Below are 21,372 nucleotides of genomic sequence, written 5' to 3'. Positions count from 1 at the left end.
GCACTCACGTGGTGATCTTGAGGACGTCCTTCATGCTGGTCAGCGGGTCCGAGTTGTCAGGGCAGCGCAGGAGGCAGGGTGCGAAGATAATGGCCAGCGCCCCAGGTGACATGCGGTTGACATCCTCGAGCAGGGCCACCCTGCACAGCCACTGGCAGTTAGAGGATGGCTAGGGCCGAGGGAGGGAGGTACCAGGGAGCCCCGAGACTGAACTTCTGAGCCCTGGGGTGGCTGTTGGGAAAGCAGTGCCACAGCCCAGCACTGGGAGATGCTTCCGCAGCACAGAGAGGTACCTCAAGGGACCCGGGCGGCCCAGCAGCCTGGCCCCCTCCCAGAACCCCCAACAGTGGTCTGCATCCTGGTTCGAAACCACCACAGAACGCCAGCTCGGGTCCTCCTGGGAAATGCTGCCTCGCGGGTTCCCAATGCGACCCTAACCCCACAGAGGGCAGGTGGGGAGGCACTTGCTTGACAAGGTGGAAGATGAGTCTCTCCAGGGAGTTGTGGTTGGCTTCTGGAAGGTGCTCCAGGACGGCATAGATGGCAGCCAGCTGCTCCTGCTTCTCCGGCAGCTCTGCAGGCAGTGGGGTTTGAGGACGTCAGCTCCCAAGGGTCCCCAAGGTGCCTGTTGTCCCCACCAACACGACCTGAGATGCACAGGTGCCATCCACCCTGTGGTGCCCAGGCAAGAATGGATGGCTACAGAGGTGTCCTGGCCCCACCCCAAACTGGGGACCCGGTTTGGCTGGGCCGACTGCTTTGGGCCTCAGTTTCTCAGTTTGTGAACTGGGTGGTCCTGCCTCCTGGGCTGGTCACAGCGAACGCTGTATCCTGGCTGTGGCCACCTGCTGCCACCCGCACCGCCATGGGGCTCACCGACGGCTCGGAGGAAGTCGCCGTACTGTGCGAAGGTCATGAGGGGCTCGGGCAGCTCCCGCAGCCACTGCTTCAGCACCCCTGTGATGGCGTGGATGGGGAAGTTCTCCAGCTTGACTGCTGCGGGGTCTGTGGGGTGGGTGGGGTGGGTCTGGTGAGCGGCGCACTGGCAGGACGGCTGTGCCTGGGGCCTGGCACTGCACCCACCTGCCCACAGCGCCCACCTGTCTGCAGCGCCTGCCGGAGCTCCCGAGTGCGGTTGGCAGCACCCGACTTGCGGTAGAGGCCCTCGGTGTACAGGCCGTGCATCTCCACGTGTTCCAGGAGCTTCTCCAGCACGATGGGCACCGAGGCCTTGTCGCTGGTCAGGCTGTCTACGCACACGCCGAAGTGGCCAGGCTCAACGCCTGGCTCGCCCTGCAGTGCCGGGGTTGGGGGTCAGGTCTGGGCCTGGCTGTCTTCCTCTCCAGCTGTCTCTGGGGGCCTCTGCCTCCTGGTCCCGCACAAGGCCCTCAGGGCTTCCTCTGCTGTTCTGTCCCTCCCTGTCTCCTTCTGCGTGGTTGTTGGGGGTGTGGGGCTGCAGAAGTCAAGGCCAGCATGGCAGCCACTGGGCAGGGGCTTCCTTTGTAGGCCACCCAAGGCATGGGTGGTCCTTCGTGGGGAGAGAGCTATAACCTAGCCCCCACAGCCACCTCACAGAAGTAGACCCTGACTCTTGCTGCACCCCCAGCACCCAGGACCCCAACCTTATGCACAGAGTTGGGGGGCCTCCCTCTGCATGGCTCAGGACTCTCTCAGGAGCAAGGATGAGCAGGGCTGGGGGAGCTGAGACACACACACAGGCCTGGGCCCTGCCTGAGGGCCTCAAGGAGTTTGTACAGAACCGGGGACAATGGTGTGTTCTGCAGAACCAGAGGCCACAGCCGCCCCCTACTGGCTGCTCAATGCTTCGCTTGGCCCTCACATCAAGCACCACCTCCTGGTGCACCTGGCCGTGAGTGGAGTGTCATTGTAGAAAGTTCCAGGCCTCGTACACTCACCTTCCTCCCGTAGGTGTAGGAGCAGTGGCTCTGAATCTTGTGCACGCACTTCTTGTGGCAGGTCATCTTGCACACTAGGAGGTCCACAGGGTGGGAGTCACAGAGGGTGCTGGGGACCCCAGATTCCTGCAGCCACCCACCCAGCTGGCCGGGGGCCGCCAATTGCCTTCTTTTTTTTTTTTTTTTGAGATGGAGTCTCACTCTTGTTCTCAGGCTAGAGCGCAATGGCGTGATCTCGGCTCACTGCAACCTCCGCCTCCCGGGTTCAAGTGATTCTCCTGCCTCGGCCTCCCGAGTAGCTGGGATTACAGGTGTGCGCCACCACGCCTGGCTAATTTTGTATTTTTAGTAGCGACAGGGTTTCTCCATGCTGGTCAGGCTGGTCTCGAACTACCGACCTCAGGTGATCTGCCCACCTCGGCCTCCCAAAGTGTTGGGATTAGAGGCGTAAGCCACTGCACCTGGCCTGGATTGCCTTCTTTTTGGTTTCTCTTTTTCTTTTTGAGACAGGGTCTCACTCTGTCACCCAGGCTAGAGTGCAGTGGCACTATCATAGCTCACTGGAGCCTTGACCTCCCAGGCCCAGGTGATCCTCCCAAGTAGCTGGCACTACAGGCGTGCACCACCGTGCCTGGCTAATTTCTGTATTTTTTTTTGTATAGATGGGGTCTTGCCATGTTGCCCAGGTTGATTTAGAACTCCTGAGTTCAAGCGACCCTCCCGCCCCAGCCTCCCAAAGTGCTGGGATTACAGGTGTGAGCCACTGTGCCTGGCCTGCCAACTTCTAAACCCACACTGCAGGAACCTGTGCCCTGACTCCTGAGAGAGGAGGCTGTGTGGACAAACTTCATAGCTCCAAGGTGGCCATTCATGGCCTCAGACCCAGCCTGGCTAGCGGAACCATGAGCAGGTGTTTGTGGGGACCTGTGACATCCTTGCCCCAAGTCCCCAAGGCCACCTACTGGCAGAACTAAAGGTCTAAAGGTCCTGCCAGGAGGTGGCCTTGGGGACTTGGGACGAAGATGTCACGGGGCAAAGACAATGCTGCTTTTCCTTCTTCCAACCACACTGAATCCCAGGCCACCCAGCTGACGCCTTGCAGAGGGTACACTGGTTACGCTAAAGAAGAGAGTGTCTGGCACCTGGCAAGGATGGAATCAGGTGAGGGGACGGGCCTGGGTCCCGCATCCTTATCTCAGGACCATGACAACTGACTGTTGGACAGATGTGGGGTGGTGGGGCTGCCTTCTGGGCTGAAAAGACCCTGGCCCAAATGGTTCTGGCAGAAAAACACATGTAGGAGAGGCCCTCTTGACCCTGCTGGGCCTCTGGAGGCTGCCTGGGCTTGGGTACTGACTTGGCCATATCAAAGCTGTGTGAGCATGGATCAGCTGGGTCATTCCTGGGCCCTGTCTCTTAGGGTCCCCTGGGGCTGAGTCTGGCCTACAGGGGAGGGACCGTGAGGAGCCTGGGGAAGGAGGGGCCGATGGTTCAGGCGGTGGAGCAGCGTGTACAGAGACAGAGAGGCAGGGCCCACGAGGAGAGGAGGCTGCAGATGTGGGTGGGTGCTGGCTACTGGGGGCCTTGGGGCCAGCTGAGAATTGGGCTCTGCTCCTCCGGTGATGGTGGACGGTTTGAGGGGGTGGGATATGGCTGGGACAACGGTCCAGAAAGATCTGACCTGGTGGCTGGGCTGGGGTGAAGACCTTTTTTTTTTTTTTTTTGAGACAGAGTCTTGCTCTGTTGCCCAGGTTAGGGTGCAGTGGCGCGATCTCGACTCACTGCAACCTTCGCCTCCCAGGTTCAAGTGATTCTCCTGCCTCAGCCTCCCGAGTAGCTGGGATTACAGGTGCCCACTACTGTGCCCAGATAATTTTTGTATTTTTAGTAGTGATGAGGTTTCACCATCTTGGCCAGGCTGGTCTCAAACTCCTGACCTCGTTATCCACCTGCCTCGGCCTCCCAAAGTGCTGGGATTACAGGTGTGAGCCACCCCGCCTGGCCCTGAAGACCTCTTGAGCAGTGAGGGGTGGTGGGGGACATGGAGGGTTTTGGGGCCTGGTGGGGGAGCCACTCACCGCTGCAGAGCAGGGCCTTGTCCATGAGCCAGATATAGGAGAGGCACTGCTCGCACGACTGCGGGATGCTAACCTGGTAGCTGGCGAACACGTGCCCGTTGTGCTCCTGGACCTGTGAGGCCAGAGGAAGGCGCTGGGCAGGGAAAGGGGAAGGCAGCCCTCCCCAGCCACTGGTGGATGACGACCCATGGGATCTCAGGGGTGACTTATTCAAGACTACGGCTCCGTATATGCCGGGGGAAAAACACACTCACACGTGTCCACGCACACATACGCGTGCAGACGGGCCCATGCGCACATTGACACTGACACACACGTGCATGCTCCTGCCAATGTTCGCCTGCTCGGACTCTCATCTATGTGCAGCCTACTCACAGCACGCTCCTGCTTCCGCTTCTTCTTCTGAGCTTTGCTCTGCTGTGAGGAACACAAGGAGGAGGTTGGCGGGGGCCCCCCTGGGAAGAGCCCCAACCCACCCCTGGCACCCCATAACTCAGGCGTGTGGGTACCCTGAACCCTCCCTCACCTGGAGTGGCATCATTGTCCCTAACGCCCCCATTCAGACACCCCAGACCCAGAAGTGAGGCTCTGTTGGGGAGGGTGCAGGGCTCCCCACCAGGAGGTAGGTGTGGCACAAATGGGCACGGCATGGTATAGGTGGGCATGGCATGTAATCATGGCAAGGGATGGGTAGGCATAGCATGTTGCATGTCATAGGCGTGGCATGGCATGGGTGGGTGTGGCATGTCAGGTGGGTGTGGCATAAGTGATCATGGTGAGGCACAGGTAAGCATGGCATAAGTGGATCAAGTCATGGCACAGTGGCTGTGGTATGGGCAGGGCATGGGTGGGTGTGGCATAAGCATGGTGAGGCATGGGTGGGCGTGGCTAAGGATGGCGAGGCATGGGTAGGCGTGGCATGTCACAGGTGGGCGTGGCATGCTGGGCTGCCCACCTTCACTGGCTCGAAGTCGTTCTTGGTGTAGCCACGGGTGAACTCATCTAGCAGTGACTGGAAGAGGTTGAGGACCAGGTTGGTGTCCTTCTGGCCACGCTCAGTGGCCAGGTTGCTGACGACGATCTGGTAGTTCTCCATCAGATCCTTGTAGCCCACGTGGATCTTCCCGTTCTGTAGGAATGCTAGGCGTCACCCTGCAGGCCTGGGCAAGGGGCGGATGGGAATGACGGGTCTGAGCAGGGTATGGGAAAGGCTGAAGGCCGGGCCGCCACATACCGGGACAGAGTACATCGTTTTGATGTTGCTCCTGAACTTCTCGGTGGCTTCGATAAACAAGCTCTCAATGGGCGTCTTCTGGGAACGGAGGTCATTTATCTGGAAGGGGAGAGGAACTGACCCTGCGTGCCTCAGGCCTGGGGACCTGCGTACCCGAGGAGGTGCCCAAGGGGTCACTTCTATCCTCTCTTAAGTCATCCCCTAGGCTCTCGGGATAAAATCCAGTCCCTCTGGCCAAGCCTGGTCTCTCATCTTGTCAACCCAGAGTTAAAGCCACTGACATTGAGGGCAGGACTACTCTCCACATTGGGGCCTGCCCTGTGTACCACAGCAGGTTAAGCAGCATCCCTGGCCTCCACCCACCAGATGCCAACAGCGCCCTCCCCTGAGGCTGTGATAACCCCAATGTCCCCAGACATTGCCAGTGTTCCCTGGCGGACAGAATCCCCCCTAGATGAGAGCTACAGGTCAGTTCAGGCCCTTCCTGCTGCCCCACACAGGGGCTCAACACCCAGCCATACCTTAGGATGGGGATGCCTGGAATGGCCTGGTAATTTCAAGATGCCTCTACTCCTAGCAGGGTTTCCTGATCCTTCTGTGTCCCCATCGGCCCCCTGTGCCCGCTGTGCAGCTCCCAAATGTAGCTCTATCTGCTGCAGGATTGCCCACCCCCCACCCCCACGGGGTATAACCCTCCTGAGGGCAGCCACAGCTTGTTCGCCTCCACTTCTGTTGCACACAGTGCTTCATCAATCTTTGCTTTGAGACCAAATATGCATTATTATTTTTTTTGAGCCAGGGTCTTGCTCTGTCACCCAGGCTGGAGTGCAGTGCTGCGATCGTGGCTTGTGGTGCCTCGACCTCTTGGGCTCAAGCGATCTTCCTGCCTCAGCCCCCAGGAGCTGGGACTACAGGTGTGCACCACCACTCCAGCTAATATTTAAACCTTTTGTAGAGATGGGGTCTCTCTGTTGCCCAGGCTGGTTTTGAACTGCTGGGCCCAAGTGATTCTCCTGTCTCAGCCTCCCAGAGTGCTGGGATGACAAACATGAACCACTGTCCCCGGCCTGAGCCTGGACTTTGTATTCTTGACCTGCTAAACCCTGTGTTGTGTGTTTCAGAAAACAATGCCTGGCTGTGATGGTTCCCCTGGGGACCGGGCCTCATGCCCCTGGCCCTCGCCTAGTGATCCCACCTTGTTGAGCAGGAACTCGTCCAGGTACTTGAGCTCATTGGCGTTGGTGATCTGGCGGAACACCGATTCCCGCCACTTCTCTGACACTGTGATCTTCCCAATCTTGACATTTCGGTTCTTCTTCCCTTTGCCTCCTGGTTCCTTGGTGCGCTTCTCACCTGCAGCGTGGCGATGCTGCTGTCCGGAGGGGGCTGAGGGGGGACAGGAAGCAGCCGGTGAGGGTGGGTTCAGGGGGAGGATGCAGGGGACCTCCTATGGCACGCCTTTATCCAGGGCCAGAAACCCCTGGCTCTGTGCCTAGGGCTTGGCCCACAGCCAACTCAAGGCCCCGTTTGGGGACAGTGAATGTCCCCAGGGGCACTGGTGGCTCTACTGTCTGTCCCTGAGGCTGCAGGCTACCAACCTTCCAGGCCCTTCTTCATGGTGGTGGCTTCCAGCACCACGTGCCCGGACACTGCATTCTCCAGCTCCTCTGCGCCCTCCAGGCTGTATTTTTTATCCTTGGTTTTATGCAGAAAAAGCCTCTTAAACGTGGATCTGCAGGAGAAAGTACGTGGCTTCTTTTAAGTCTGAAATGAAAATGGACGTGAGGCCCAGCCTCCCTGTGACTGGACACATGGCAAATGCTCTATCAATGCCTGACTCAAAAAAGGATCTGGCCTGGCATGGTGGCTTATGCCTGTAATCCCAGCACTTTGGGAGATCCAGGCGGGTGGATCATCTGAGGTCAGGAGTTTGAGACCAGCCTGGCCAACATGGCAAAACCCTGTCTCTATTACAAATACAAAAAAATAGCAGGGCGTGATGGTGGGTTCCTGTAGTCCCAGCTACTTGGGAGGTTGAGGCAGGAGAATTGCTTGAACCCAGGAGGTGGAGGTTGCAGGTTGCAGTGAGCTGAGATCGCACCATTGCACTCCAGCCTGGGTGACAGAGTGAGACTCTGTCTCAAAAAAAAAAACAAAAAACAAAAACAAAAATGGATCTGGCTGGGTATGGTGGCTCACGCCTATGTAATCTCAGCACTTTGGCAGGCTGAGGTGGGTGGATCAGCTGAGCCCAGGAGTTTGAGACCAGGCTGGGCAACATAGCGAAACCCCTTCTGTACCAAAAATACAAAAAAAAAAAAAAAGAAAAAAAAAGAAAAAAAAATTAGCTGGGCATGGTGGTGCACACCTGTACTCCCAGCTACTTGGGAGGCTGAGGCAGGAGAATCGCTTGAGCCTGAGAGGTGGAGGCTGCAGTGAGCGGAGATTGAGCCATTGCACTCCAGACTGCCAGACTGGGCAACAGAGCAAGATTCTGTCTCAAAAAAAAAACAAACAAAAAAACAACACAGGATTATCTTATAAAGAGCAATAGCCCTTTCTTTGTACTGGCAGGGGAGTTATGTGAAGAAAGAAGGATACCAAACAGAAGCCACAGGGGGACTCCATTTTCTTTTCTTTTTGTTCCAGTTGGGGTGTGACTCAGTCTGGAGTGCAGTGGTGTGATCATAGCTCGCTACAGCCTCAAACTCCTGGCCTCACGAGCATGATCCTCTCACCTCAGCCTCCTGAGTTGTTGGGATTATAGGTACAAGCCATGCGCCTAGCTCATTATCTTTTTAAGTTAAAAAAAAAGTTTTTTTGAGACAGAGTGTCATTCTCTTGCCCAGGCTGGAGTGCAGTGGTATGATCACAGTTCACTGCAGGCTTGATCTCTTGGCCTCAAGGGATCCTCCTGTTTCAGCCTCCTGAGTAGCTGGGACTACAGGCATGCACCGCCCTGCCTGGCTAATTTTTGAAATTTTTTTGCAGAGACAAGATTTTGCCACGCTGCCCAGGCTGATCTTGAACTCCTGGCTTCAAGTGATCATCCCACCTTGGCCTCCCAAAGTGTTGAGATTACAGGCGTGACCTACTGCATCCATTCAGCCACGTGTCCTTTTAAGGGACAGAAGACAGAAGACACAGACACTGAGGGGAAGGCCAAGTGCCGATAGAGACAGAGATTAGAGTGATGGAGCCACAAGCCAAGGAACACCTGGAGCCCCCAAAAGCCAGAAGAGGCAGGAAGGATCCTGCCCTAGAGGCTTTTTTTTTTTTTTTTTTTTTTTGAGACGGAGTCTCCCTCTGTCACCCAGGCTGGAGTGCAGTGGCATGATCTCAGCTCACTGCAACCTCCACCTCCCGAGTTCAAGCGATTCTCCTGCCTCAGCCTCCCGAGTGGCTGGGATTATAGGTGCCTGCCATCATGCCCAACTAATTTTTGTATTTTTAGTAGAGATGGGGTTTCACCATGTTGGCCTGGTTGGTCTCCAACTCCTGACCTCAAGTGATCCACCCGTCTCGGCATCCCAAAGTGCTGGGATTATAGGCGTGAGCCACTGCCTGGCCTCCCCATTCAGTTTCTACTGAGCAAATGCCTTTGCGAACGTGCTTTGTAAACGTGATTGGTTTAGGAGGCCACACTGCTGCGAGGCCCTGGCAGGGACCCCGGGCATCCTCTGGTGGCCTGAGTTTCCCCCAAGCCCAATACTTACTTAGAGTCGACCTGAGAGCCCGGGGACAGCCCTGCGTCTGGGAGGGAGGATGCGTCGCCTGGCTTCTTCTTCTGGACAGCTGGCTTTTTCGCACTTCGCTCTCCGTCCGTGGTTTCTGCTGCAGGCTGCAAGACGGTGCAGTGGGGGGCTGCTAAGGAAAGGCTGGCAGTCCTGTGCTAGATGGGGAAGCCCCTGCAGGCATTTACACTCCATCCACCGACCTCACTTCCTGCTTTTTTTTTTTTTGAAACGGAGTCTCACTCTAGTTGCCCAGGCTGGAGTGCAGTGGCCTGGTCTCGCGAGGCTCACTACAACCTCTACCCTGCCACTGCGTTCAAGCGATTCTCTCGCCTCAGCCTCCTGAGTAGCTGGGGTTACAGGCAAGCGCCACCACGCCTGGCTGATTTTTGTATTTTTAGTGGAGACGGGGTTTTGCCGTGTTGTTGTTACCTGAGCCTTGGCCAGGGACGGGAGGAGCTTGGAGACGTCGCTCGTGGAGAAGGAGGTGCGCCTCTCCCTGCGAGATCACAGAAACATGGCTTTTACTGACTAGAGTGAGTCAGTGGCATTTTCTTGTCTTAGTGGTTCTTGGGTTCTCACTTGGGCAGTTCTGCCCCTGCCAGGGGACACTTGGCAATGTCTAGAGACAGTTTTGGTTGTCACCACTTGGGTGGGGGGAAAGGAGTGGGTGGGTACTTCTGGCCTCTGGTGAGTGGAGGGCAGGGATGCTACTCAATACCCTACAGAGAATGGTCTCCACCCCAGAGAGTGAGCCAGCCCCAGATGTTGAGTGTGGAGGGTAGGAAACCTTGCCTTAGCCCAAGAGACCCTGCCTGCCTGCCCATCTATCTATCTATGTATCTATCTATCTATCTATCTATCTATCTATCTATCTATCTATCATCTATCTATCCATCCATCCATCCTTCTACTCATTGACTCATTGTCTCTATCTTCCACCCATCCATCCTCTTTATCTGCCTTCCATCCATCTCTTCATCTGTCATCTCTATCTATCTTTTTTTTTTTTTTAGACGGAGTTTTGCTCTTGTTGCCCAGGCTGGAGTGCAATGGTGTGATCTCGGCTCACTGCAACCTCTGCCTCCCAGGTTCAAGTGATTCTCCTGCCTCAGCCTCCCGAGTAGCTGGGATTAGAGGCATGCGCCAACACATCCAGCTAATTTTTGGTATTTTTAGTAGAGACGGGGTTTCGCCACGTTGGCCAGGATGGTCTCAAACTCCTGACCTCAGGTGATCCACCCGCCTCAGCCTCTCAAAGTGTTGGGATTATAGGTGTGAGCCCCCGAACCCGGCTCTACCTATCTTCTACCCATCCGTCCCTCCATCATCTCTATCTTCCTCCCATCCATAATCTACCTATCATCTATCCATCCCTCCATCCATCAACTCTATGTTCCTTCCATCTCTCCATCTCTATCTTCCAGCCATCCACCCATCCTTCTGTCTGTCCATCCATCCATCCATCCACCCACCCAGCCATCCATCATCTCTACCTATCTTCCATCCCTCCATTCATTGTCTCTACCTACCTATCTTCCTTCCATCCATCTATCGTCGGCATCTATCTTCCTTCTATCCATAATCTCTACTTTTTTTTTTTTTTTGAGACGGAGTCTCATCTCTGTCATCCAGGCTGGAGTGCAGTGACTTGATCTCGGCTCACTGCAACCTCTGCCTCCCAGGTTCAAGCGATTCTCCTGTCTCAGCCTCCCAAGTAGCTGGGATTACAAGCATGCGCCACCACGCCCAGCTAATTTTTGTATTTTTAGTAGAGACAGGGTTTCACTATGTTGGCCAGGCTGGTCTCGAACTCCTCTCAAACTCTTGGCCTCCCAAAATGCTGGGATTACAGGCATGAGCCATCGCGCCCAGCCTAATTTCTACCCATCTTCTATCCATCCATCTCCCCATCATCTGTATCATCCATCCATCCATGCCTCTATCCATCATTACTACCTGTCTTCTATCTATCCATCCCTTCATCCATCATGTGTATCTTCCATCCATCCATCATCTATATCTGTCTTCCATTCATCACCTCTATCATTTTCCATCCATCCATCCCTCCATCATCTCTATCTTCCTTCCATCCATCCTTCCATCATCTCTATCTTCCATCCATCCACCCACCCACCCACCCACCCACACATCCTTCCCTCTCTCTCTCTCTCCCTCCCTCCCTCCATCCATCATCTATCGATAATACTCCTGGCATGTGGTAAGTGGAGGCCAGGGATGCTGCTCAACATCTTATGATACACAGGACAGCCCCCACCGCAGAGAATGATCTGGCCCCCAATACGAGCAGTGGGAGGCTGAGCAGGCCTGCTGCAGGGAAGGCCTGTCTCCTCCCTGATTTCTTTCCTTTGGTCCTGCAGGCCCTCTGGAAGAGGGAGCTGGAGATTCCAAGTCACTGACACTTGGCTTACTAAGGCTCAGGCAGAGCAAGCCCCTGCTCCTTTAACCCCGAGGAGTGCAGTTAGTCCTGTTCACCAATTAGAAACCAAGGCCCAAGATTTCTGGGCAGCAGGGACCTTGACCTGAGGAGCCACCTCTCTCAAGGCCGGGGCCTTTCTGTGTGAGCACAGCTCCTTCTGGGGACCCCTCAAGGCTCCAGGTCCCAGCCTGGGCCCTGGCTGGCTGCCTTGTCTTCACTTGGTCTTTAGCATGTCCTGCTCGTCCTCCTCCCTCAGGCCTCCCGCACACCCACTGGGCATGATTACACATGTGTTTCCAGGATGTGTGGCACTGCCCCTGGCCTTGCCCACCTGGCCTGGACCCTGGTGCTCAGACAAAAGAGGGTGTGGGGCTTACTCTGTGGGCGTGAGGGCGGCCCCTGTGGCCCGGTGTCTGTCGCTGAGGTCCAGGGACTGGCTGAGCATGGCACTAGGGCTGGCGGCGGCCACCAGCTTCTTGCCCCGCCACAGTTCCACGGCGCTGGCCAGCCGCTCGGCGTCCAGGTACCGCTGGATCTGCGTGGAGCCTCCGGGGCTGTCGGGCTTTTCCTGAACCCTTGGGCTGCCACATGGTTTGCTCTTGTCCTCGGGGGTCTCGGGGGCGCTGCCAGGGGCCGGTGGGCTGACCCTGCTGTCCAGGGCCAGGCTGGTCGGCCGCTCCAACTGGCCAGGCCTGGGGCTCCCACTGGGCAGCGTCTTCTCAGTTTCTTCAGAGACCTTGCCAACTGCCATGGCCTGGGGTTGCTCTGTGGGCTGCTTTTGAGATGTGTTCTCAGCCTCCGTCTCTACGACTAGAAGGGTTTCATCTTCTCTGCTCTCCTTTTTGTCTTCCAGGAGACTCACCCCTTGCTCCTGGGTGACCCTTCTGGAAGGTTCTCTGAGGGCACTCTCCTCCTTGCAGGACTGGATGTGTTTGTTCTGGAACTTGACGTGCTCCAGCCCTCTTTGCCGACGCGACTCACGCTTCTCCCGGCTGCTGGGGACTTTCTCGTGACTTTCAGCCGCCACGGTTTTCTGGGGTGGGAGAGTCTTCTCTGGGCTTGGGGCCTCCTTCTCAGGTGAGGAGTGCTCTAGGGGGGACCTGTCACTTGGCTGCACCTCAGGCTCCGATGCCAGGTGCCCGCCATCCTCCGCTGGCTCCGGCCCCTGCTCAGCTACCTGCTGCCCTCCAGCCGCCTGACCCTGTCCGCCCTCCTCAGCACCTGCTCTTGCGGCTTCCAGGGCTTCCCTCTCCTTCTCTTCTGCCTTCTGCTTCTCCGAGATCATCTGGCTGAAGCTGGAGTGAGGAAAAAGCAGACAGCTGGTTCAGAAACAAACACTCCCTCCACCTCCCACTGAGTTCCGATGGGACCCCCAGCCTGCGGGCTGCAGACGGGGCTTCGCCTGTGCCCAGTGGCCCTGAGAGATGCTTCTGGAAAGCAGGAATCTCCTCGATCAGGAAAGGAGGCTGAGGGTGGTGCCCCCTCAGTGTCACAGATACCCCTGCCCTGCGTCTGCCTGGCTGCCTTGTTAGGGGAGAGGACCCTTGTTGGGGCTGTGGTGGGTGGGTTCTATTAAGAAGCCTCAAACTCCTTTGGGGTCCACTGTGGGCTTTCCCTTGGGTCTTTTTCTAGGAGGCTTTTTGTTTTGCTTTTATTTTATTTTATTTTATTTTATTTTTGAGACAGAGTCTCGCTCTGTTGTCCAGGCTGGAATGCAGTGGCACGATCTTGGCTTGCTGCGACCTCTGCCTCCCGGGTTCAAGTGATTCTTGTGTCTCAGCCTCCCTAGTAACTGAGATTATAGACATGCACCACCAAGCCCGGCAAATTTTTGTATTTTTCGTAAGATGGGGTTTTGCCATGTTGGCTAGGCTGGTCTCCAACTCCTGGCCTCATGTGATCTGCCTGCCTTGGCCTCCCAAAGTGCTGGCCTTACAGGTGTGAGCCACTATGCCCAGCCTGTTTTGCTTTTAGAGACAGTGTCTGGCTCTGTCACTTAGGCTGGAGTGCAGTGGTGTGATCATAGCTCACTGCAGCCTCGACATCCCAGGCCCAGGTGATCCTCCCACCTCAGCTTCCTGAATAGCTGGGACTACAGGTGTGTACCACCACACCTGGCTAAGTCTTTAATTTTGTGTAGAGATGGCATCTTGCTATATTGGCCAGGCTGGTCTTGAACTCCTGTGCTCAAGCGATCTTCCCATCTAGGCCTCCCAAAGTGTTGGGATTACAGGCATGAGCCATTGCACCTGGCCTAGGAGGCTTTTGCATGTGTGGGTAGGGCCTGCTCCGGGAGCTGGGACCTGACTTGTGGCAGAGCTGGGTCTGTGTGGGCAGGGGAGAGGTGAACAGGGTGCCTAGGTCGGGGAGGGGCTGGGCTCGGAGCTGTGGGTGCTGGGACGGGAGCTGCTGATATCCTCCTGGGGGCTTCTCTGTGCCCGGTGGATGCCCCAGCTCCATGTGAGTGTTGGGCTGGTCCAGGCAGCCCCTCCAACCCTGAATCCAGGTGTTCCCTGACCGATCCAGGTACAGGGGAGTCCCTGGGCAGAGAATGGGTGCAGCCAATGGCAAAGCAGGGCTTTGTCCCTGAGTGCTGCCTGCCAGCCTTGGAGCACTTCTCTGCAGCCCATGAGTGCCTAGGCATCTGGTTTCCCACCAGCCTTTCCCTGTGTCCAGAATGACATCCCCTTAGTGCCACAGGCCAGATGGTATATCACGGGCAGCAATTTGGTGAGTGACCTTTTTGGCTTCTGGAATATTCCGAGGAGCGTGGCCCGGCTCTGCTCACCTCTTGCGCTGCAGGTGCCCCCGACACAGGCTCTGCAGGCGGATGATGCTCTGTTTCTGGTGCCGGTAGAGCTTCCGCTGCCAGTAGCCCCTCCATGAGGCCTGGAGGTACACGGCAGCCTGCGTCCTCTCCAGCGCCCTCCGGACCCGGTAGGACCGCCAGCAGGCCTGGATGGTGACGGCGGCCCGCTTCATCTGCAGGAAGTGCCGACGCTCCAGCACCATCCGGAACCAGCTCTGCAGCAGCAGGATTTTCCGCACCACCTCCCGGTGCAGCGTCTCCTGCAGGGCTTGCCGCTCCGTCTCCTTCAGGAAGACCTGGTGGGCACGGGGTCAGGTGGGGTCAGCTGCACTGCCCCTGACACCATCTCTGTGCCTGGGAGGTCTGCATAGCCCACTCCAGAGTGAGACCTAGGCTGGTGTGCTGACCAACCAGGGCTTTATTTATTTATTTATTTATTATTTTTTTGAGATGGAGTCTCACTCTGTCGCCCAGGCTGGAGTGCAGTGGCATGATCTCGGCTCACTGCAACCTCCGCCTACTGGGTTGAAGTGATTCTCCTGCCTCAGCCTCCCGAGTAGCTGGGACTACAGGTGCCCATCACCAGGCCTGGCTAATTTTTGTATTTTTAGTACAGACAGGGTTTCACCATGTTGGCCAGGCTGGTCTCGAACTCCCAACCTCAAGTGATCTGCCCGCCTTGGCCTCCCAAAAATGCTGGGATTACAGGCATGAGCCACTGCACCTGGCTGTGGCCCCCCCTTTTTTTTTTTTTTTTTGAGATGGAGTCTCACCAGGCTGGAGTGCAGTGGCCCGATCTCAGCTCACTGCAACCTCCGCCTCCCGGTTTCAAGCGATTCTTCTGCCTAAGCCTCCCGAGTAGCTGGGACTACAGGTGTGTGCCTGTAATAAAACCCTGTCTCTACTAAAAATACAAAAATTAGTCAGGTGTGGTGGCGGGCACCTGTAATCCCAGCTGCTTGGAGGCTGAGGCAGGAGAACCAGTTGAACCTGGGAGACGGAGGTTGCAGTGAGCTGAGATCACACCACCTGTCTGGGCAACAGAGCAAGACTCTGTCTCAAAAATAAAAACAAAAAAGAAAAAAGAAATGAGATCTCGCTCGGTCACCCAGGCTGAAGTGCAGTGGTGCAATCAGGGCTCACTGCAGTCTCAAACTCCTGCCTCAGCCTGCCAAGCAGTTGAGACCACAGGTGCATGCCACCACGCTTGGCTAATTTTTAAATATTGTATAGAGATGGGGTCTCGCTATGTTTCCCAGGCTGGTCTCAAACTCCTGGGCTCAAGGGATCCTCCCACCTCAGCCTTTCAAGTAGCTGGGACTCTGCGTGCATGCCACCTCGCTTGGCTGGAAGGGAATTTTTTACACCAGGTGAGGCCTTCAGGGGGACTGACCTTGGCGCTTGTTAAACAAGGGTGGCTGAGTAATGCTCCCATAGCAAGAGGCAAACACATGCCCAGAGATGGGAGACAGTCTCTGAAAGGGAGGACAAGTGCAGGCCACCTCCTGCCTCATACCGTAAAGGGGACTGACCATCTCCTAAATCCTGCCAGTTAGCACGATCGTCCCTTTCCTACCTGTGAGGCAGCAATAAACAGGTGACGCGGAGGGAGTCGCTGAGCCCTGCTGAAGAACAGCAGGTGGGGCTCAGCCAGGGCGGCCCCTATCCCTTAGGTGCAGTGCTCTGCTGGGTCCCGAGAAATGCATTTCCTAGACAGAGCCCTGTATGTTTCAGAGAGTGGCCCTGGGGGCCTGGGGAGACACGGTGTGCGGTGGAAGGCAGGGTGTGGGTTTGTAGTGCCCCGAGGGGCAGGAGCGCTGACCTTGGTCTTCCCGATCTGGTAGTTCCTCTTGTCTATCTTCATTTTCTCCAGGAGGGTGGAGATGACCTCCCTGCAGGGCTGGGCATCCTTGGGCAGGAGCACCTGGAACTGCTCGGTGAAATCCTAGGTTATTTGGGTGGAGAAAGGAAAATCTAGGTGAGTGTTCTGGCCAGCGATGAGGAGACAGAGATCTGGTGACCCTGGTTAAGGTGAAGCTGGGTTTGACAGGAATGGTAATGACAAATCTAAAATTTCAGGCTTTCAGAAATAGTCTGGGCCGGGTGTGGTGGCTCACACCTGTACTCCCAGCACTTTGGGAGGCCGAGGTGTGTGGATCACCTGAGGTCAGGAGTTCGAGACCAGCTTGGCCAACATGGTGAAACCCCATCTCTACTTAGCCGGGCATGGTGGCAGACACCTGTAGTCCCAGCTACTTGGGAGGCTGAGGCAGGAGAATCACTTGAACCTGGGAGGCGGAGGTTGCAGTGAGCCAAGATTGCGCCATTGTAATCCAGCCTGGGCGACAGAGAGAGACTCCGTCTTAAGAAAAAAAAAAGAAATAGTCTGTTTTTTTTTTTTTTTGAGACGGGGTCTCACTTTGTTACCCAGGCTGGAGTGCAGTGGTGTGATCTCAGCTCACTGCAGCCTTGACCTCCTGGGCTCAAGTGAGCCTCCTGCCTCAGTCTCCCTGGAAGCTGGGACTACGGCACATAGTCCTGTAGCCACCATGCCCAGCTAATTAAAAAAATATTTTTGTAGGGACAGGGTTTTGCCATGTTGCCAAGGCTGGTATCGAACTCCTGAGCTCAACCAATGAGACCAGCCTGGCCAACATGGCAAAACCCTGTCTCTACCAAAATTAGCCAGGAATGGTGGCAGGCGCCTGTAACCCCATGTACTGGAGAGGCTGAGGAAGGAGAATCACTTGAACCCGGGAGATGGAGGTTGGAGTGAGCCGAGATCACACCACTGTACTCCAGCCTGGGCGACAGAGCAAGGCTCTGCACCACCCCCATCACACACACAAAAAACCAAAGAAATGGGTTCTCAGCTGGGTGCAGTGGTAAATGGGTCACGTGACCCAAAGTGCTAGGATTGCAGGTGTGAGCCACCATGCCAGGTCAACAGTCTGTAATCTTTTTTTTTTTTTTTTTTGAGACGGAGTCTTGTTTTGCCGCCCAGGCTGGGCTGCAGTGGCACAATCTTGGCTCACTGCAAGCTCCTCCTCCCGGGTTCACACCATTCTCCTGCCTCAGCCTCCCGAGTAGCTGGGACTACAGGCACCCGCCACCTCTCCCGGCTAATTTTTAAATTTTTTTTAGTAGAGACGGGGTTTCACCGTGGTAGCCAGGATGGTCTCGATCTCCTGACCTCGTGATCCGCCCGCCTCAGGCTCCCAAAGTGCTGGGATTACAAGCATGAGCCACTGCGCCCAGCCAACAGTCTGTAATCTTAAGAAAGACCACTGCAGATACAAGGTCCTAGATCTTTTAGATGGTCGAGGTGGCTGGGAACCACAGTCACCCTTGCAATGGGGCTTACAGTCTAGGACTTGTGGGGGAGTTAGATTGTAGCTGGAGGAACATGTTTTTTTTTGAGACGGAGTCTTGCCCAGGCTGGAGTGCAGTGGTGCAAACATGGCTTACTGCACCTTCAACCTCCCAGACTCAAGCAATCCTCCTGCCTCAGCCCCGCAAGTAGCTGGAAGTACATTGCATGCCAGCACGCCTGGCTTTTGTATTTTTATGTGGAGACGGGGTTTCACCATGTTGCCTAGACTGATTTTAAGCTCCTGAGCTCAAGCAATCTGCCTGCCTTGCCCTCCCAAAGTGCTAATTACAGGCATGAGCCACCACACTGGGCCTCTAGTTTTGTTTTGTTTTGTTTTGTTTTAAGACAGGGTCTTGCTCTGCCATCCAGGCTGGAATGCAGTGGCTCAGTCATAACTCACTGTAGCCTCAAACTACTTGGGTTCAAGTGATCTTCTCACCTCAGCCTCCTGAGTAGCTGGGACCACAGGTGCATACCACCTTGTCTGGCTAATTTTTTTTTTTTTTTGAGGCAGAGTTTTGCTCTTGTTGGCCAGGCTGCAGTGCAATGGCGTGATCTCGGCTTATTGCAACCTCCATCTCCCGGGTTCAAGCAATTCTCCTGCCTCAGCCTCCCAAGTAGCTGAGGTTACAGGTGTGCCCCACCATGCCTGGCTAATTTTTTTTTTTTTTTTTTGTATTTTTAGTAGAGACGGGGTTTCACCATGTTGGTCAGGCTGGTAACGAACTCCTGATCTCAAGTGATCCACCTGCCTTGGCCTCCCAAAATGCTGGAATTATAGGTGTGAGCCACTGTGCCCAGCTGATTTTTAAATTTTTTGCAGAGATGGGGTCTCACTATGTTGTCCAGGCTGGTCTCAAACTCCTAGGCTCAATTGATCCTCCTGCATTGGCCTCCCAAAGTGTTGGGATTACAGGCGTGTGCCACTACACCCGCCCAGAACATTTCTTTTGAGTAAATTATTATTTCAAATATTTAAGGGCCAAGCACTGGTAAAATACACCAGCATTTCTGCATTTTTTATAATTTTGCTTTTCTTATCCGCATAGGATTAGAAAGACACTATTTCTATTCAGTGGATGAGAAAAGAGGCACATTACATTCTAGTCCCTGGGGCTATGAAGGGAAAGCGTGAAAGGGAACCAGGCGCTGTCACCTCTGGCTTTGGGCTCAGGGTGACACAGGTACTAGCTCTTGGCATGAGGCAGGGGTTTCTTCTTTTTTTTTTTTTTTTTTTTTTGAGATGGAGTCTTGCTCTGTTGCCCAGGCTGGAGTGCAGTGGCTCAATCTTGGCTCACTGCAACCTCTGCCTCCTGGATTCAAGGGATCCTCCTGCCTCAGCCTCCTCAGTAGCTAGGAATACAGGCAGCTGCTGCCACACCCGGCTAATTTTTGTATTTTTAGTAGAGATGGGGTTTCACCATGTTGGTCAGGCTGGTCTTGAACTCTTGACCTCAGGTGATCCGCCTGCCTCAGCCTCCCAAGGTGCTGGGATTACAGGCGTGAGCCACTGCACCTGGCCAACCTGCTGAGTTTACACTCCAGCAAGGAGCTCTCTTTGGAAGAGGGTGATTGCCTTTGCCACGGAACAGGTGTGTCCAGGTATATGTGCTTGTGGCCTACCTGGAACGTGTACTTGGCGCTGTACCCTGACCTCCGGATGCGCACGGTCTCCAGCATGCCGGTGTAGCGCAGCTGCTGCAGGACCAGCTCGTCGTCAAAGCACAGCTCTTTCTGAAATGGGAATGCGAGACATCAGGCAGGTGGCCTTGACCTGACAGGATGCCCAAGTCTGTTGCTGGCTCAGGCCTGGGAACTGTGAGATGAGGGCACTTCCCCATGCGACCACTGCCTCTTGGGATGCCGAACACAGACATGGTCAGGGTGCACACGTGGGTGCTGGCTAGCCGACCTGGGAGTGTTCTACGGCACGGCAGCCAGGAGCACCTGGACAAGGGGTCCGTCCTTGCTCCAGACACTCTTTCTGGAATGAGGCCAAGATGGGAGGATCAGTTGAGGCCAGGAGTTCGAGACCAGCCTGGGCAACATAGTGAGACTCCATCTCTAGTCATTTAAATTTATTTTTTAAAAAAAAAAGAAAGAAAAAAGAAAAGAAAAAAAAAAAGAACCCAAATGCAAATCTGTTCTGGGCTTGTTCTCTGTGGCAGGCACTGGGGTAAGTGCTGGGAATTCGGTGGAGAGGAGAGCTTGGTCTGGGGGCAGGAGCCACACACAGGTGATGGGGCGGACAAAGCCCAGTGTTCCGGGCCTGTTCTCTGCCAGGCACTGGGGTAAGTGCTGGGGATTCGGTGGAGAGGAGAGCTTGGTCTGGGGTCAGGAGTCACACACAGGTGATGGGGCGGACAAAGCCCAGCACCCCATGGGAGGTGTCCCAGGAGAGAGGAGATGCTGGGCTGTGTCCTGAGGAGGGAACAGGCAGAGAACAGCTGGGTGGAGGCCCACAGGAGAAGGAAGAAGCCAAGGGTCTGATGGGGACACAGGGAGATGCTTCCTGCCAGGGGAGAGAAGAGGCTGGAAATGCAGCTGCCTCAGTGGGCTTTAAGCCTGGAGCTTAGGGGTCTGGACTTCACTCTGGTGGGCAGTAAGGGATAAGGCATGGTGTTGCTATAAAGACAAACGGTGCTGGGCGCGGTGGCTTACGCTTGTAATCCCAGCACTTTGGGAGGCTGAAATGGGTGGATCACTTGAAGTCAGGAGTTCAAGACCAGCCTGGCCAACATGGTGAAACCCCGTCTCTACTAAAAATACAAAAATTAGCTTGGCGTGGTGGGCACCTGTAATCCCAGCTATTTGGGAGGGTGAGCCAGGAGGATGGCTTGAACCTGGGAGGTCGAGGCTGCAGTGAGCCGAGATCGCACCACTGTACTCCAGCCTGGGTGACAGAGGGAGATTCTGTCTCAAAAACAAACAAACAAAAACAAACAAAGGCAAACGGGAAAGAATGAGGAGGGTTGTCATGACTGGGGGTGGATGTGGAGGCCAGGGATGCTGCCACCCTCCAGTGCACAAAATGGGTTTTATCACAGAGAATCATCTGCTGGCACAGCCCACGAGCAGAGAAGGTGCACTACGGAGCATCTCCCCAGGTACAGTTGGCGGGAGGTTCCTGCCTGGCTGTGTGCTCACATTTGTCTGGGAGCCCACACTCCTGCTCAGTCCCTGGCAAAGTCCCCGAGCTGTCCTCCCAGGGATGGAGTGGACCTCTGGGGTAAAGGAAGCCTGTGCCAGTGCTGAGCCTGGAGCCCCTGCTGGTGGTCCCACGGGGGCTCCAAGGGTCTCTCTAGAAACTTGTAATGTGAGCAGCGGGCTGTGTGTGCCTCTGAGACTCTGCTATGTAATCTCAGCCTCTGCCTTCTGGTAGACTCCTTGCACCGGCTACTCTTTGGGATGTATCTGAAAAGCACCCCTGACCTGTCGCTCCCTAATCAAACCTTCTCTGGGCCTCTCCATGTTCCAGATGATGTCCCTGCTCTTAAATGGCCACTTGGACCATCCTCACTGCTAATTCTCCATCCCCGGCTGCCTCTGGATGGACTGCTGCACCGTCCCCCATACTGCGTGGAGGCTGGGGCTGGATGCAGGGACACCGACACCCCTAAGAGTCCGGCATGGGCCTTCTCCTCCCAAACACCTTAGAGAAACTCACCTTTTCAGCATTGGAACGGATGCAGCGGATAAAGAAGGGCTCCGCCTTCCCCAGTGCCTCCAAGAGCTTGTTAAGGGATGTCTGTTAAGGGAAAGAGAAAGCATTTGGGTTGAATCAGGGA

The 21,372-nt window shown here is 55.5% G+C and overlaps 1 protein-coding gene across 2 annotated transcripts in view; it reads right to left on the bottom strand.

Moving 5' to 3' along the window:
* MYO9B (myosin IXB) overlaps positions 1-21,372 on the bottom strand; it is a 137,510-nt gene that overhangs the window by 6,034 nt on the left and 110,104 nt on the right. For both annotated transcript variants that reach the window (NM_001130065.2, NM_004145.4), the window contains exons 18-35: positions 21,252-21,332; positions 19,208-19,318; positions 16,034-16,156; positions 14,191-14,507; positions 11,780-12,697; positions 9,395-9,461; positions 8,945-9,069; positions 6,827-6,960; positions 6,424-6,614; positions 5,229-5,327; positions 4,950-5,123; positions 4,370-4,411; positions 3,995-4,106; positions 1,917-1,990; positions 1,101-1,293; positions 877-1,005; positions 469-574; positions 9-140 (exon numbers count right to left, since the gene is read on the bottom strand). In NM_001130065.2, coding sequence (NP_001123537.1) covers positions 9-140; positions 469-574; positions 877-1,005; positions 1,101-1,293; positions 1,917-1,990; positions 3,995-4,106; positions 4,370-4,411; positions 4,950-5,123; positions 5,229-5,327; positions 6,424-6,614; positions 6,827-6,960; positions 8,945-9,069; positions 9,395-9,461; positions 11,780-12,697; positions 14,191-14,507; positions 16,034-16,156; positions 19,208-19,318; positions 21,252-21,332 — 3,128 coding nt within the window. The remainder of the gene's footprint in view (positions 1-8; positions 141-468; positions 575-876; positions 1,006-1,100; positions 1,294-1,916; positions 1,991-3,994; positions 4,107-4,369; positions 4,412-4,949; positions 5,124-5,228; positions 5,328-6,423; positions 6,615-6,826; positions 6,961-8,944; positions 9,070-9,394; positions 9,462-11,779; positions 12,698-14,190; positions 14,508-16,033; positions 16,157-19,207; positions 19,319-21,251; positions 21,333-21,372) is intronic.

Source organism: Homo sapiens, chromosome 19 (assembly GCF_000001405.40).
Source record: "Homo sapiens chromosome 19, GRCh38.p14 Primary Assembly".
NCBI classification, from domain to species: domain Eukaryota; kingdom Metazoa; phylum Chordata; class Mammalia; order Primates; family Hominidae; genus Homo; species Homo sapiens.
This window is presented reverse-complemented; position numbering and strand designations above follow the sequence as displayed.